The sequence below is a fragment of the Homo sapiens genome, chromosome 9 (assembly GCF_000001405.40).
Source record: "Homo sapiens chromosome 9, GRCh38.p14 Primary Assembly".
In the NCBI taxonomy this organism is placed as follows: domain Eukaryota; kingdom Metazoa; phylum Chordata; class Mammalia; order Primates; family Hominidae; genus Homo; species Homo sapiens.
Genome location: NC_000009.12, coordinates 70,809,576 through 70,823,159, shown reverse-complemented (window position 1 = coordinate 70,823,159; position 13,584 = coordinate 70,809,576). Strand labels below are relative to the sequence as shown.

The 13,584-nt window shown below is 38.1% G+C and overlaps 1 protein-coding gene and 1 non-coding gene across 24 annotated transcripts in view; both read left to right on the top strand.

Annotated features, from left to right (window-relative positions):
- The window catches only part of TRPM3 (transient receptor potential cation channel subfamily M member 3), a 917,912-nt gene that overhangs the window by 623,812 nt on the left and 280,516 nt on the right, over positions 1 to 13,584 (top strand). For 6 of the 23 annotated variants that reach the window (NM_001366148.2, NM_001366152.2, NM_001366147.2 and 3 more), the window contains exon 7: positions 11,916 to 11,990. The exons of the other annotated variants lie outside the window; for them this stretch is intronic. In NM_001366148.2, coding sequence (NP_001353077.1) covers positions 11,916 to 11,990 — 75 coding nt within the window. The remainder of the gene's footprint in view (positions 1 to 11,915; positions 11,991 to 13,584) is intronic. 23 annotated transcript variants of the gene reach the window in all.
- On the top strand, positions 13,076 to 13,185 carry MIR204 (microRNA 204). Its single transcript, NR_029621.1, has one exon. It is a non-coding gene; the product is annotated as a microRNA 204 (primary transcript).

The window sequence follows — 13,584 nt, the reverse complement described above, 5'->3', positions numbered from 1 at the left end:
GTGTGTATGTGTGTGTGCGTGGGGTCGGGGGGAGCACTGCAGGGGAAGCCCAGAGAGGCTCATGGGCAGCAGCCTAGCCTCCGTGAGGAGGAGAGGCCAGCAGTGCAGAGCTGAAGAGCAGGCCACGGCAGATGGTCAGGATGCCAGAGATGCTGGAGAAGCCACCATCAGATGCTAGTTTTGGGGTAGATTGTCAGGGACACATCACATCCCATTCATGAAAACACCGGGCCCTTGCTAGATTATCAAGGTGGGTAGTGACACATGGGCATATTGACAAGCAAGGACCCAGTTAGGGAGAAGTCTGGAGTACGAAGTAGGAGAGAGGCACAGACCCAAATACCAGGGGACTTACTTTGGGGAACACACACACACACACACACACACACACACACACACAAGACAAATCTTTGTTTTTGAAACTGTGGTAAAATAAATATACATAACCTAGAATTTACCATTTTAATGATTTTTAAGTGTGCAATTCAGTTTCCTTAAATATATTTACATTGTTTTTGTGCAATGATCACCACCATTCATCTCCAGAACGTTTTCACCATTCCAAACTGTAACTCTGTACTCATTAAACACTAACTCCCCATTACACATTACCCCCTCCCCCAACCCCTAGTGGCCACTCTTCTACTTTCTATCTTTATGCATTTGCCTATTTTAGGTACCTCATATAAATGGCATTATAAAATCTTTGTCCTAAGATATATTTTGAAAATAGAGCTCAAGAGGGCTTGCTATTGAATTGAGCATTCAGGATAAGGAATAGACACTTCAAGAGTGATGCATGGTCATCCTTTGAGACACCACTGTGTCCTTAAAACAATGGGACAACATGAAAGCCCCTAAGGAGTGTTTACAGAAAAGAAAGGGACTGAGGACTAGTCTCTAGGGAATTTGTACAAAGTTTTTGAGAAGCGGTGAGATTCCACGCAGAAATAAAGAACATGCACAAATGAAGAACAGGAGGAAAAGCAGAGAATTACGGGCACAGATGTGGGTAGGAAGGGACACTTTCTGGTGGAAAGATAAGGTGATTCTCTAAACATAGCTTCTATATCTACATAAAATAATACAGGAGCTTATTGGCTAGGAGTGTGTAAGAGGAGAAGGTGTTGAAGATTAGGGACAGAAAACAACTACAGTCAGTTTAGAGACTGGGAGAATGAACAGACTAGGAAAATTTAGAATTCTCATGCAGCACAGTTGGTATTTGTGGTTGTAAATTTAAAGCAGCATGAATCATCAGAGTTGTATGGTTTTTTCCAGCCATGTTCAGTTACAGTGGTAGAATAGGCATCAATCTGGGATTTTACCTGGCAAGTAGGAAAGAGAGATGGAGAAGCAAGAGAAAGAAACTGATTTATTCTCTGTATATCTGTATCCCTAAAGTACCATCAGTGTCTATGAATGAAAAAAATGTTATGCCTGACATTTAAAAGAACATAAAATCATTAATCTAAAAGAGTAGACTGATGTACAGAGAGATGGTTAAGTAAATTATCAAAAGTGACTCACACCTTGAAAGTGTTTAAGTAAACAGGTTCATAATAAATAATTTTTAATATTTATTTTACTGTTCAGATATTTATATAAGTTCGACCAACTTAATATATTGCTGGAAACATAGTAGCTGCTTAATAAACATGTGTTAGCTTAAAGAGTGGATACCAAGGGACTACTCCAGAAAGTAGCATCTATGTATCCTGATAAGAATTTAAAAATCTTATAAAATTGTTATTATTAAAAAATGTTATTATAGCCACCCTACAGCTATCATCCAGCCTCTATATTTATCAGCCCTGGGCCAATCTTGTTTTCTCTATCCATATACCCACCTACTTCCACCTCTGAATAATTTTGAAGGAAATCCAGACAGCGTATCATTTCCTTTATAAATATTTCAGTACAAAAGCATTTTTTAAACCAATGTTGGCCACACATAGGCTAGATCTTAAAAATATTTCTTTAACTCAGTAGCAGCATCATGGCAAATATTAGTCTAAGAATTTTTTAACAATTCTTTCAAAAAATAAAAATTAAGAAATACACTATTGTATGCTGAAATTTATCTTAAAGATTTAACAGTCATCTTTTCTGGTTGCAAATTCGACTTTCAGCTAGCCAAAAACTATTTAAAATGAATATTACATTGCAATTCTTAGAATTCAAGATTAGAAAGATCTTCAGCAATTGTGACTTTCTTTTAAGGGTTTAAAGAGAAGAGTATAACTTTTGGGAGAAGAGGAAGTCTTTGTCTGTTGCTAGTGACATAAAGTAACAGTGGCAGGTAGCCTGGGAGTTGAGATTGTCAGGGCTCTGTGACCTTGGGCAAGTTACCGTATTTGACTTTATTTCTCCATCTGTAAGCTAGGGATAACAATTCCCTAGCTTACAGATGGAGTTGTGATTAAAGGAGTCGTTGTGATTAAAGGAGTCGAGATATGATTCTGTCATGTGGCAGTTCAAAAACATTGATTCCTTTCCTGCCTTCTTGGCGGTTCAGTGCCATGTGCCATGTCTACACAGCCTCACTGCCATAGGTTCCAACCTGAGACTTGGACCTTCTCTCTCAAAGCCCATCAGAGCCCAAGGTGTTCATCAGAATGTCTTATAACAGGCTCGGCGCAATGGCTTACGCCTGTGATCCCAGCACTTTGGGAGGCCAAGGTGGGCGGATCACCTGAGGTCAGGAATTCACCATTGCACTCCAGCCTGGGCAACAAGAGCGAGACTCTGTCTCAAAAACAAACAAACAAACAAACAAAAAAAGTCCTATAACAAATCATAACCTGGCTCTGCTTGTTAAAGAGAAGTCTTATACTCTCTTTAGTTACAGAAAGGTTCAAAGGGAAAAGTGGAGGCTTAAAATTAGATTGTGCTGCATATCATTATGCCTCTATTATTTGTTACAGAGTAATTTAATTTCTTAGTCACTGCAGCAATAAGAAATATATTCTAAACTGTAGTTGTCCCTCCTGCCTCAGTAAACAGAGAATAATAGAGAAAAATTAAGCTTTCTTTAAAAATCCAAGCTGTATCAGTGTCTTAGAGTAGTCATAAATGGCACTAGGATTTTTGAGTACTCGACTTGTTGGAGGTGTAGGAACTTGAGCTGAATATGAATTGACCGAGACTATATTTTGAAATATTAGATTTGAGTCAATATCAGATTTTTTCTTGTGATTTACCATTTTATTCAAAAAAATTAGAAGAAGAGGACAGAAATCTAGTTGTCTTCAGGCTCCATTTGATTGAGGTGTTATTCCTTTGTCTTTGAATTATATTTTAGGTTAGGCCGAATGGAAACTTTATTTGGATTGCACATCTGATTATATTGTGAACATCAACCTTGGGTATAGGAAATTTCATTATGAGGCTAGAATTTTCTGACTTTGTTATCTCCCTACTTGAAAGTGAAATCTATGTCATATGTAATCTAGTCTAAGGGATTATTTCCCCATGGCAGACCTTACAGATATACCTATTTTGCAATATTAATTGATGGAGTGTCTGGGTAGGTTTTGATTTCCATAACCAGTGCTTTTGCTACTTTCAAAGTTTGCTTGGAGAAGAATTTGAAGCTCTGTTTTTTTCTTTACCCTATAGTAATATCTGACATTTGAGTGTGGTCTCATCTGTTGAAGCCACCTAGAGTACCTTTCTCTAAAGCAGCAGATTAAACTGGGCTTAGCATTTCTAAGTAAACAAGTAGCAGAAAGGATTGCTGGATTCATAAAATATAATCAAATTTGGTATTTGAGGATATTGGTATTTAGAAATATCTGCAAAAATATGTTTTATTATAAAGTTCCTAAGCCAACACACCTATATATCTATGATTATGTGCCTCCCCTGGGAGACATTTTAAAATGTGAGAGGTGGGATTTGGGGTTGTCACAATTTCTGGTGCTTATTAATGGCATGGGAGAGGGGCCAGGAATGTTAACATCCTACAATATGCAGGACAGTCTCACATGAAGAGTCGCCTGGCCCAGATACCAACAGCATCTCTTAGGAAACACTACTCGGAGCATGTTACCCTGAGTTTTCTTTTTGTTTTTTCTAAATCTTTCCCATAACCCTCTCCTCACTTGTCAAGACCATACCCTTCTAAGGTAGCCTATACAAGTGTAAAGACATATGTAGAGGAAATGTTACTAGTGAATGGCAGTGAGATTCAAAATATGTATTTAACAAACCTGTGAAGGCTCTGGCGTCCTAAATCCACAGCAAGCCGGACATCAGCCCTGGTACCTCCTTCAAATCCTAATGCCACTTGCTATTGGGAAGTTCTTCCTCATATCTAATTTCACTTGCACTGAATCTTAAACCTGTTCTCTCCCAGATGAGGACAAAAGTCATTGTCTGTATTAGAGCTCTCAGCATATTTGAAAACTAAATATACTTAAATTGACCTTCTTCCATTATAGCTGTAGGAGGCTGTTTTTCATGGGAAGAGACACACTGACTTGCTTAACAGGCAGAACTAACTCATGAAGTAAATTAGATCAGAATTTCCAATTCGGCCGCACCCACTCTTAGCACCACTGCTTTATATGTTTCAGGCTAAGGGACTCCAGAAATGTGCTCAAAGCTGAGCACCTTCCTGTCAGAGTCCTTGATGCGCAGAGAAATCCTACAGTCCACAGTTATTAGCTGACTTTGGGGAGAGGCAAGGGCCCAGAAATGTGGGCGCTTTACCTGCGGGTCTCTGGACAGCCTTCTAACTCGAGGGCATTGCCCAGGATATCATTTAATAAATCAAGTTTCTAGCTGAATAAAGAGTTACTAAATTGAATGCAAAGAGAACTCTAACATATAATCTATAAATTACTGAGAATTATTTTGAAAATAGGCCAGGGGGCTAATATAAATCTTGAGTGAATGAATAAATTCATGAATCATGCTTTTCAAAAATTCACATTCCATTTCTGGCATATGTCTTTCATTTCCCTGGACTATATAGTAAAAACCCTATATGTGTTAGTAGTTTTCTCTTGTTAAATGATGAAGACAATTTGTCATGGGAATCTGACAGAGGTTATCTAGCGAGCACCACTGACATCCTCAATAAATTTACCAATGTCTCTGACGCCAACACTGACGTTAATGTTGTGCACAACAAATGTTCAAAAAAGTTTAAGTGACTTGACCCAGTCACTTTATTATAACAGAAATAACAGTTCCAAAAAAAACCAAAAATATTTTAGTAACGTCAACATGATTGAAATAAACATGTAGTTTCCTGGGAAGCTTTTTTTAAAGATTATATATATGAATAAACAATATATAATAAATATGACATATTTATTTTTATTCTTATTATGATGGTTAGATAAGTCTCATTTATTTGCATTTATACTAAATAAAGAGAGGCCAAGACTGGGTGGTCTGTAGTAGCACAGAGAGATAGGAAGATGACAAAAGTTAGGTATGAGTTTCTAATGAGAATTTCTTCTGGGGAGTTTTCCATTTTGGAGTAACTTGTGTATTCATGTAGTAAGAGATTAGATTGGCAGGAGATCTTCCGGTCTCTTACCCAACACTGCCAACCTAGCATGACACTTTCCCCGCTGAATCTCGATACACCTTATAACCATAAAGCCTTAGTTAGGACACAGGTTCTGCCTCAGTAACAATGACTCAAAATAATAGATGCTTCAATGAGACAGGAATTTTTCCTATTCATATGTTACTCTGAACATGAGTTCAGCTCTGATGTGGGTGCCTCACTCCTGTGAGGACTCATTTCATCTCCTTTGCTCTGGCATTCCTGTTTGCATGGTCCATGAGAGCCCACTGTCACATCTACATTCTGGCCAGAAGCAATCAGGAAAAAAGAGCAAGGGGAGGCCCTGCCCTTCCTTTCGAAGGCACAGTGAGGAAGTCACACACACCATTTTAGCTCACATCTTATGTGTCAGTATTTTGTCACATGCTAACACCTTACTAAAAGGTGATTAGAAATATGTAGTCTTTATCCTGGACAAATGCATAGCCAGCTAAAATCCTATCAGTATGAAGGAAAGGAAGACTAGATATTGAGAGACAGATGGTCATTAAGAGTTGGCTGGAGTTGGCACATGAGATAAAATTTATCTGCCACTCATAAATAAGATATGTCTGTGTATTCTAACGTGCTCATTGAAGAACCTCACTCATAAATAGCTCCTGCAGCTGCAAGTCATATCTTGCCCTTTTGCTCTTTACCTGTGAGCTTCTTAGTGATAAGTCTTGCACTAGCTGTGGAAATCAGATTAAGACAAACTGCCTAAAAAGATATGGATTATTTTAGACCATCCTGGTTTAGTTAACTTTTTAAGTTAACAAACCTAAACAGATCCCCTTAGCCTCAAAATAATAATCGCATATGCAGCACCATGCATTAATGCATGTGCATTCTCTAATGGATCCTTTACCACATATTTTGTTACACATCATTTCGTAACATTTTAAGTTCCAAAATATTAAAAATAAATAGAAGTGTTTCTATGACACTGTACTTTTGATGTTAATGCTTCTAAGATGAATCCTGGAAGATAATTCTAATGTCATCTACACATGCCAGTAATCTTGGCAGCAGGTGGTAGAATGGAGGTTGGCCAGCCTCTCAAATCTATCCTGGAAAAAAAAGGTTATAACTGGGCCTTGGCCCTCTTGGGGGAAAAGAACAAGAGACCTGTCTCAGGGAATAAAAGCAGCCATCCTCTGACTCTGTTGAAACATTTTAGGAGGCTCTGATGAGCAGATGGGTTTGTGAGGGATTTAAAGGATTCTTACACCAATTATCTAACTTGACATTCTTATACTTTAATAACACCTAAGTGATAACTAATGATTTGGCAAGATACAGACAGTCCTGAAGGGCTCTTGACGCCTTTGGAATGCCAGTAAATATATAATTGGATGTGTTTGCTGATGGCAATTATGAAAAGATAATTACTAGCTAGAGTTCTCTCAATAAATAGTGAACTGGGTCACTTTGTTTTAGAGATCAAGATACAGAGAATCCAACTCTAGTTAGTTTTTTTCATATAATTCTAGTTTGCATTATTCAATGAAACCTAAATGGTAGCTCTATAGACAGCTGAGATTTCCTTTCCATCTTGTTAAGTGAACAAAGCCTAGGAGTATCTGTTGTCTTACAGATTTAGTGAAACCACAAGCAAGCACTTTGAAAATAAACCTTGACTTTTCTCTCGCTGTACTCTTGTAAAACAATTTCTTGGCTCAGCTTCTGGCTTAACATCTTTTTCCTCCATCATTTCATAATATCAAACTCATAGCTATTGTAACTTTTTCATTCACACAAGCTAAGCTTCCATAGAAAAATAAACTAACTGTTAAAAAACCCTATTAGAAAATACAGTGAACAAATGCAAAAGACAAGTGGCAATGCAAAGAAAATATTCACAACAATGACAAAGAGCTAATTTCCATAATATGCCGAGTATCTACAAATCAAAAAGAAAAATATTAAAATCCTTATAGGAAAGTGAGCAAAATCTATCCGCAGGAAGATCATAGGAAAGAAAATACAAGTGCTCAACCTCATTCATAATTGAATAAATGAAAATTAAAACAATTTTTTAACCTATCAAATTGGCAAAAGCCAAAGATTAAAAATATTGAGTGTCATTATGTATATATAGAAATATGTACTTACACATTTATTGTGGGTGCATAAATAGCGCAGTCTTATTTGGAAGACAATTTGGCTGCCCCTATTAAATATGAAATATATGTACCCTTTAGCCCCATAATTTTACTTCTAGGAATTCATTTTACATATATTTACCACAATATTGTTTACAGTAATAAAATGGAAATAGCCTAAAGATTCATCAGTAAGCAACTAAACAAATTATATGTCAATATATAGTGAAATATTCTGAAATCATTGTGAATAATGTAATACCGCTGTTGGGCTCACATAAAAGATATTCAAGGGTATGTTTGTTCTTTTCTCAAGTTAAAAGTTGTACATAGTACAACTGTATGTTCAGTATAATCATATTATATTTTCTTAAAATTACATATATATACTTATAAAAATACCTGAAAGGACACAGGTGAACATTGATTAGTTACAGTTTCCAGGGAGTGAGACTTGAGGTGGGAGAAAAAATACAGGGAGTGACACTTTTCACTTTATACCTTTAAAAATTGCTTGATGTTGTTTTTTACAATGAGAAAATATTGCTTTTATAACGAAAAAAGAAAGAAAAGGAAAGGAAGGGAGGGGGAGGGAAAGAGGGAGGGAAAGAGGGAGGGAAGCAGGAAGGGAGAGAGGGAAGGGAAGAAAACCTTTGAAAGTAGTCTATTCACAGGGCCTAGGAGTTGGGTGCCTTTCTCCCTCAAGGGTATGGATATCATTCTTGACCTGTGGGTCAAGTGCCCCCACAGCTGTGTTTGACATACCTTCTTTTCTCTTGCTTACTTCTGGCAATCCGCTTCTCCTTTTAAAACAAAAGGAAAGAGTCAGGTCAGGAAACATAAGAGAGGCTGGTTAAGGACATTAGAGAGAACAGTATTTTCAAATCACATATAAAGGATGTGTATAAAACTGATGAGACCAATGTAATACATTTGATGCTTACATTTTATAATGGCTGAAATCAGAATCAAAATTATTTTACCCCTTTAGGGTTGGTGAATGACTAAAAGCCTAGGTGTATTCCCAATTCTTAGCTGTAGCCAGATATACTATTATATTGGAGATACTGAAAATGTCCCATGTTTACATCCATATCATGAGAACAATCTAGTGGAGCTAAAATTGTCCATCGTGCTCCTTCATCATGTTCCTAGGCACCCCAAAGTCCAGCTCCCTTTCCCCAGTGTCCTACAACCCGTTATGGTGCAGCTCATATACCGCTGGTTTCACGGTCAATATTGTCTGTGTGCTCACCATGAAAAACGTGCTTCTCTCTGTACTCCACCCCACTGAACTTCTAAGACACCTCATGTGGAAGCTAAACACATGTCAAACTTCTTCAGCTTTTTAAGATGTGGCAAAAATAAGAACTCAAAATATCTGTTATTTAAAATAAATTGTGACTGCTCTCTGTTATATCTTCTCTTGACAGTACTTTTTATTAAGCGCTTTCTCTACTGTATTTGCTGGTGCATCTGTAATGCTCAAGGCACTGTAGGGGTAGCAAGATAAATAAGGTATAGCTGTATACTTGAAGAGCTTAGTCTTACAAATAAGTTAATAACAACTAGTGTTGATTGAGTGCTATTGTAAACAATTTACAAGAAATAACTGATTTAGTTCTTATGACAACCCTTAAGGGGATACCTTTATTACTCCCATTTACCAGAAACAAAATGAAGCACAAAGAGGCACAAGGTCAGACTGCTAGTAAATAGCACGCTCAAGAAGTATGCCTCTTAGCCCATGCCTCAACCACTGTGCTCTACAGCCTCTCTGTATGCAAAGAGCTGCATTATAAAGCAGCAAGTGTTTTTTTTCTCTAATTTTTATTTTAGTTTCGGGAGGTGCAGGTACAGTTTTGTTACAAGCGTATATTGCATGATGCTGAGGTTTGGGCTTCTATTGATCCCATCACCCCAGATAATGAACACAGTACTCAATAGGAAGATTTTCAGCCCCTGCCTCCTTTTGGAGTCCCTAGTGTCTATTATTTCTGTCTTTATGTTTGTATGCACCCAAGATTTAGCCCCCACTTATAAGTGAGAATTTGTGATATTTGGTTTTCTGTTTTTATGTTAATTTGCCTAGGATAATGACTCCAACTTCAACTATATCCATGTTGCTACAGAGGACATAATGATTTTATTCTTTTTTATGGCTGCATAGTATTCCCTGGTGTATATGTATCACATTTTCTTTATCCAATCCACCACTGATGAGCACCCGGGTTGATTCCATGTCTTTGCTATTGTGAATAGTACAAAGCAGTAGATGTTAAGTGCCCTTTAGTAATATAAAGTGCTACAGGAATTCAGACAATGAGCATCACTTAGCGCATTGCTTTCATCTTGCAGATAGGAAAGCCACTTGTAAAAAAAATCACAGTCACGTGTTCTGACTAAATTCATTACGTGAATTACCTTGGTAGAGCTTTTATCTGAACCTGAACTCTAAACTCCTTGTCTGCTCTTCTTTGCCCAGCCTTGTGTCACTACCTTAGTTTCACTTTTTATTCCTAATTTTCCCCCTTAAGACCATTTTTTTCTATTGTGTCCTGAAAGGTAATTAAGAAAATATTGAGACAATTTGCGGACATAACACATACCTGCTATCCAGAGATTTCCATTTTTAACCATAGTACCACTAATCTCACCCCACTTGACCTTCACTAAAGTATTACTTAATTTTTTTTCATTAGAGTTTGATAAATGGGGGAAAAAGAAGCTGAAAATACCAGCATGCCATTCACTCTGCAGGAAAGACATAGCTAAGCCAATGTTGTGCTTGGTTCCATTAACAAGTGCTTGTGCTAAATTTCCAGGAGGGTTTGTGGTGTTGTCTATTTGAAACTTTGCTGATAGTATTAAGCCAGCAGTCTAATTGCCATACACAGTGCTAGAATGGCCTGGGGAGTATGTGCTTAAAAGCCGAATTTATGTCCTCAGAAACACATTAATTAGGAACTCTCTGGAAAATGTACAGTAGTTGCTCTTGGTTGGCCATTTTACAAACTATTGAGAATCCAGAGGAACCAACCCTTAGAGGCTGTGCTTCAAGTGATATTGCTTTGCATTTTCCCCAGTGAGTACATTCTTATGAGAAGGCAGCTTTGCCAGGGTATGGGTGCTGACATATAACCAAGTGATGTTGATGTTTCATGAAAAGTGGGTGAGTTCCTACATGCCTCTCACCAGCCAGCTACCAGCTGCCAAACTCCTACTTCCCAATATTTGCCACAAGTGAGGCTGCTCTCAAAGTCTAGCTTGATCCTAGGAAGCTAGGGTCTAGAGATCTAACTTGAGGATTTGGGATCTTCCCTTAATGCTGTCTCTAAGGAAGGAACAAAATGAAGGCAGAGCAGAGCTGTTCATACTCATGGGGTCCTCCTCTGAGACCATCTGACCAAAGGCTAGCTTGCTTAGCAACTCCAGAAATATGATATTACCATTAAGTTTATCTCCTAGTTTGGGAAACAATAACCAAATTGGTAGGAAACCTGCCAATTATACTGAAATGGTTTTGATGACTTTTTTGGAAGATATGTAGACATAGTCATAGATGTAGATATATTTATATCTATACCTTGGCCAGAGAGAGAAAGAGGAATCAGTCCAATTAATAATATTATGCATGTTGAGTAACATGTTAGCTTTGTTTCAATTCCTCTTTTAAAAAGAAAAGAAAAGAAACTGGGTAGATTAGCCTCTAAATGGATAGTTCTTTTAAGTCAAAAGTAGCTAAACACTTGAAACTAGAACACTTATTTCTCTAGAAATCAGGAAAATGTTATTAAAAGGAGGGAAGGAAAGAATTCAATTCCTATCGTCTCCTGGAAAACACAGAATTGGAAGATTCATAATTATCATTATAATTAATATAACAACAACTAAGATTTCTTGAGGTTTTACTAAGTTCTAAGCATCAGTACAAGCACTTAACAGATATTAACTCATTTGACCCTTTCCACACCACAGAAGCTATCTAGGCTGGAAGAGAATAAAGAATGATACTTCCTCCAGCAAAGAGCTATGATTTTTAAGGACCTGTCCAGTTGAAGGAGTGATAAGACAAGATATAGCTGGTGCAGAAGGGCTGGATGATGCTCTACATAGGTTTCACTGTGCAACTTGAGTTGCCATCACGTATATAAATTTATGTAAATTGGGTAATCCATCTGCTTTAATAAAATGTGTATGCAACCACAGGGTGTAGAAATTTCAAAGATTTTATTTTTTGACAGGATGCCTGCCGTTTTTCTCTCTTGACTCCCGCTTGTTTTATTCATTTTGGGGTAGTTGCCAGTTAGACTCAGTTGGTAAGTATAATTAATGGAAAATGTGAATTTCTTCTTAAACTCCAAGAAATTAACCACAGAAGTCTTCATTTCCTTTATAATTTCCTAACAGTATCACTCCCTATGACTGTTGTTTTATCTCTATCTCTTCTGACATTCAACCACATCAGAAATTAGTTACTCCCTATTATTTATCATCCTAAAGATACCATATAGGACAGCTTGACGGCACTATTGGGATACTACTAGGAGGGAATGAGCATTTATTTAGGTTCCAAGCACCATGCTAGGCATTTTCATATATACTATCTCTTTTAATACTCACAAAAACCCTTCAAGATAGGGATTATTTTCTTCCTTTTATACAGTTGATGAAATGGCACCTCCAAGAGGTTAAGCCTTTGCCTTAAATCCAATTAGTGGCACAGCTGGGTGCAAACCTAGGCTGACATAATTCCAAAATACTTTCTCCTTTCATCCTACACATGGAAGCATTATCTCATTTTTTTAAAAAGGCTCCCCTAAAGTTTGGTTACCTTGGAGAGTTTGAGGGTCATTATTCCATTCAGCAACTATTTGAGCACCAACTCTGTGCCAAATATAGGTTGAGCATTGATTCAGTTGGAATGAGTCATCAAGCAAAACTTTGGGAAGAAGATGGTGGTTAGTTGCAAGATGGTGGAGAAACAATATTAGGAAGAAATACAACAGGGTGCTGGAGAGGAGCGTGGGGATGGAGGCAAGCAGAGGACCTCCTGATCATGTACCCATAGAACAGGGCGATGGAGAGGAGGGTGGGGTTGGAGGCAAGAAGAGGACCTCCTGATCGTGTATCCATAGGACAGGGTGATGGAGAGGAGGGTGGGGTTGGAGGCAAGCAGAGGGCCTCCTGATCATTTACCCACAGGACAGGGTGATGGAGAGGAGGGTGAGGGTGGAGGCAAGCAGAGGACCTCCTGATCATGTACCCATAGGACAGGGTGATGGAGAGGAGGGTGGGGGTGGAGGCAAGCAGAGGACCTCCTGATCATGTACCCATAGGACAGGGTGATGGAAAGGAGGGTGGGGGTGGAGGCAAGCAGAGGACTTCCTGATCGCGTACCCATGGCTACAGTCTTTCTTCATGTGACTCGTGGACTTCCCTTTGTCATCCTATGCCTGAGAATATATGAAGGAGGCTGGGAAGGCAAAGGGACGTTCAATTGTCATCACTGGCATCTTTTTTGATCATTGCACCATCATCAAATGCATTGGGATAACCATGACATGAAATTTTCCATCATTGGGCCCATAACTGTCCCATAAGAGAGATGAAAAACACTGTATGTTAAAGGTCATAGTAGAACTTCATCCAAGCAGCTCTGGAATTAGGAAGGAGTGAAATATACTCTCAAAGACTAATAGTTCTGGGTCCAAACCATGTGACTTGAAAAGGAAGCAAAGATTCCCCTGGACAGGTTACATATACTGTCATGCATTGCTTAACGATGGGGTTACTATATCCTCAGAAATGAATCATTAGGTGATTTTGTCATGAACATCATAGAGTGTACTTATACAAACCTAGAAGGTATAACCTACTACACACCTAGGCTATATAGTATAGCCTATTGCT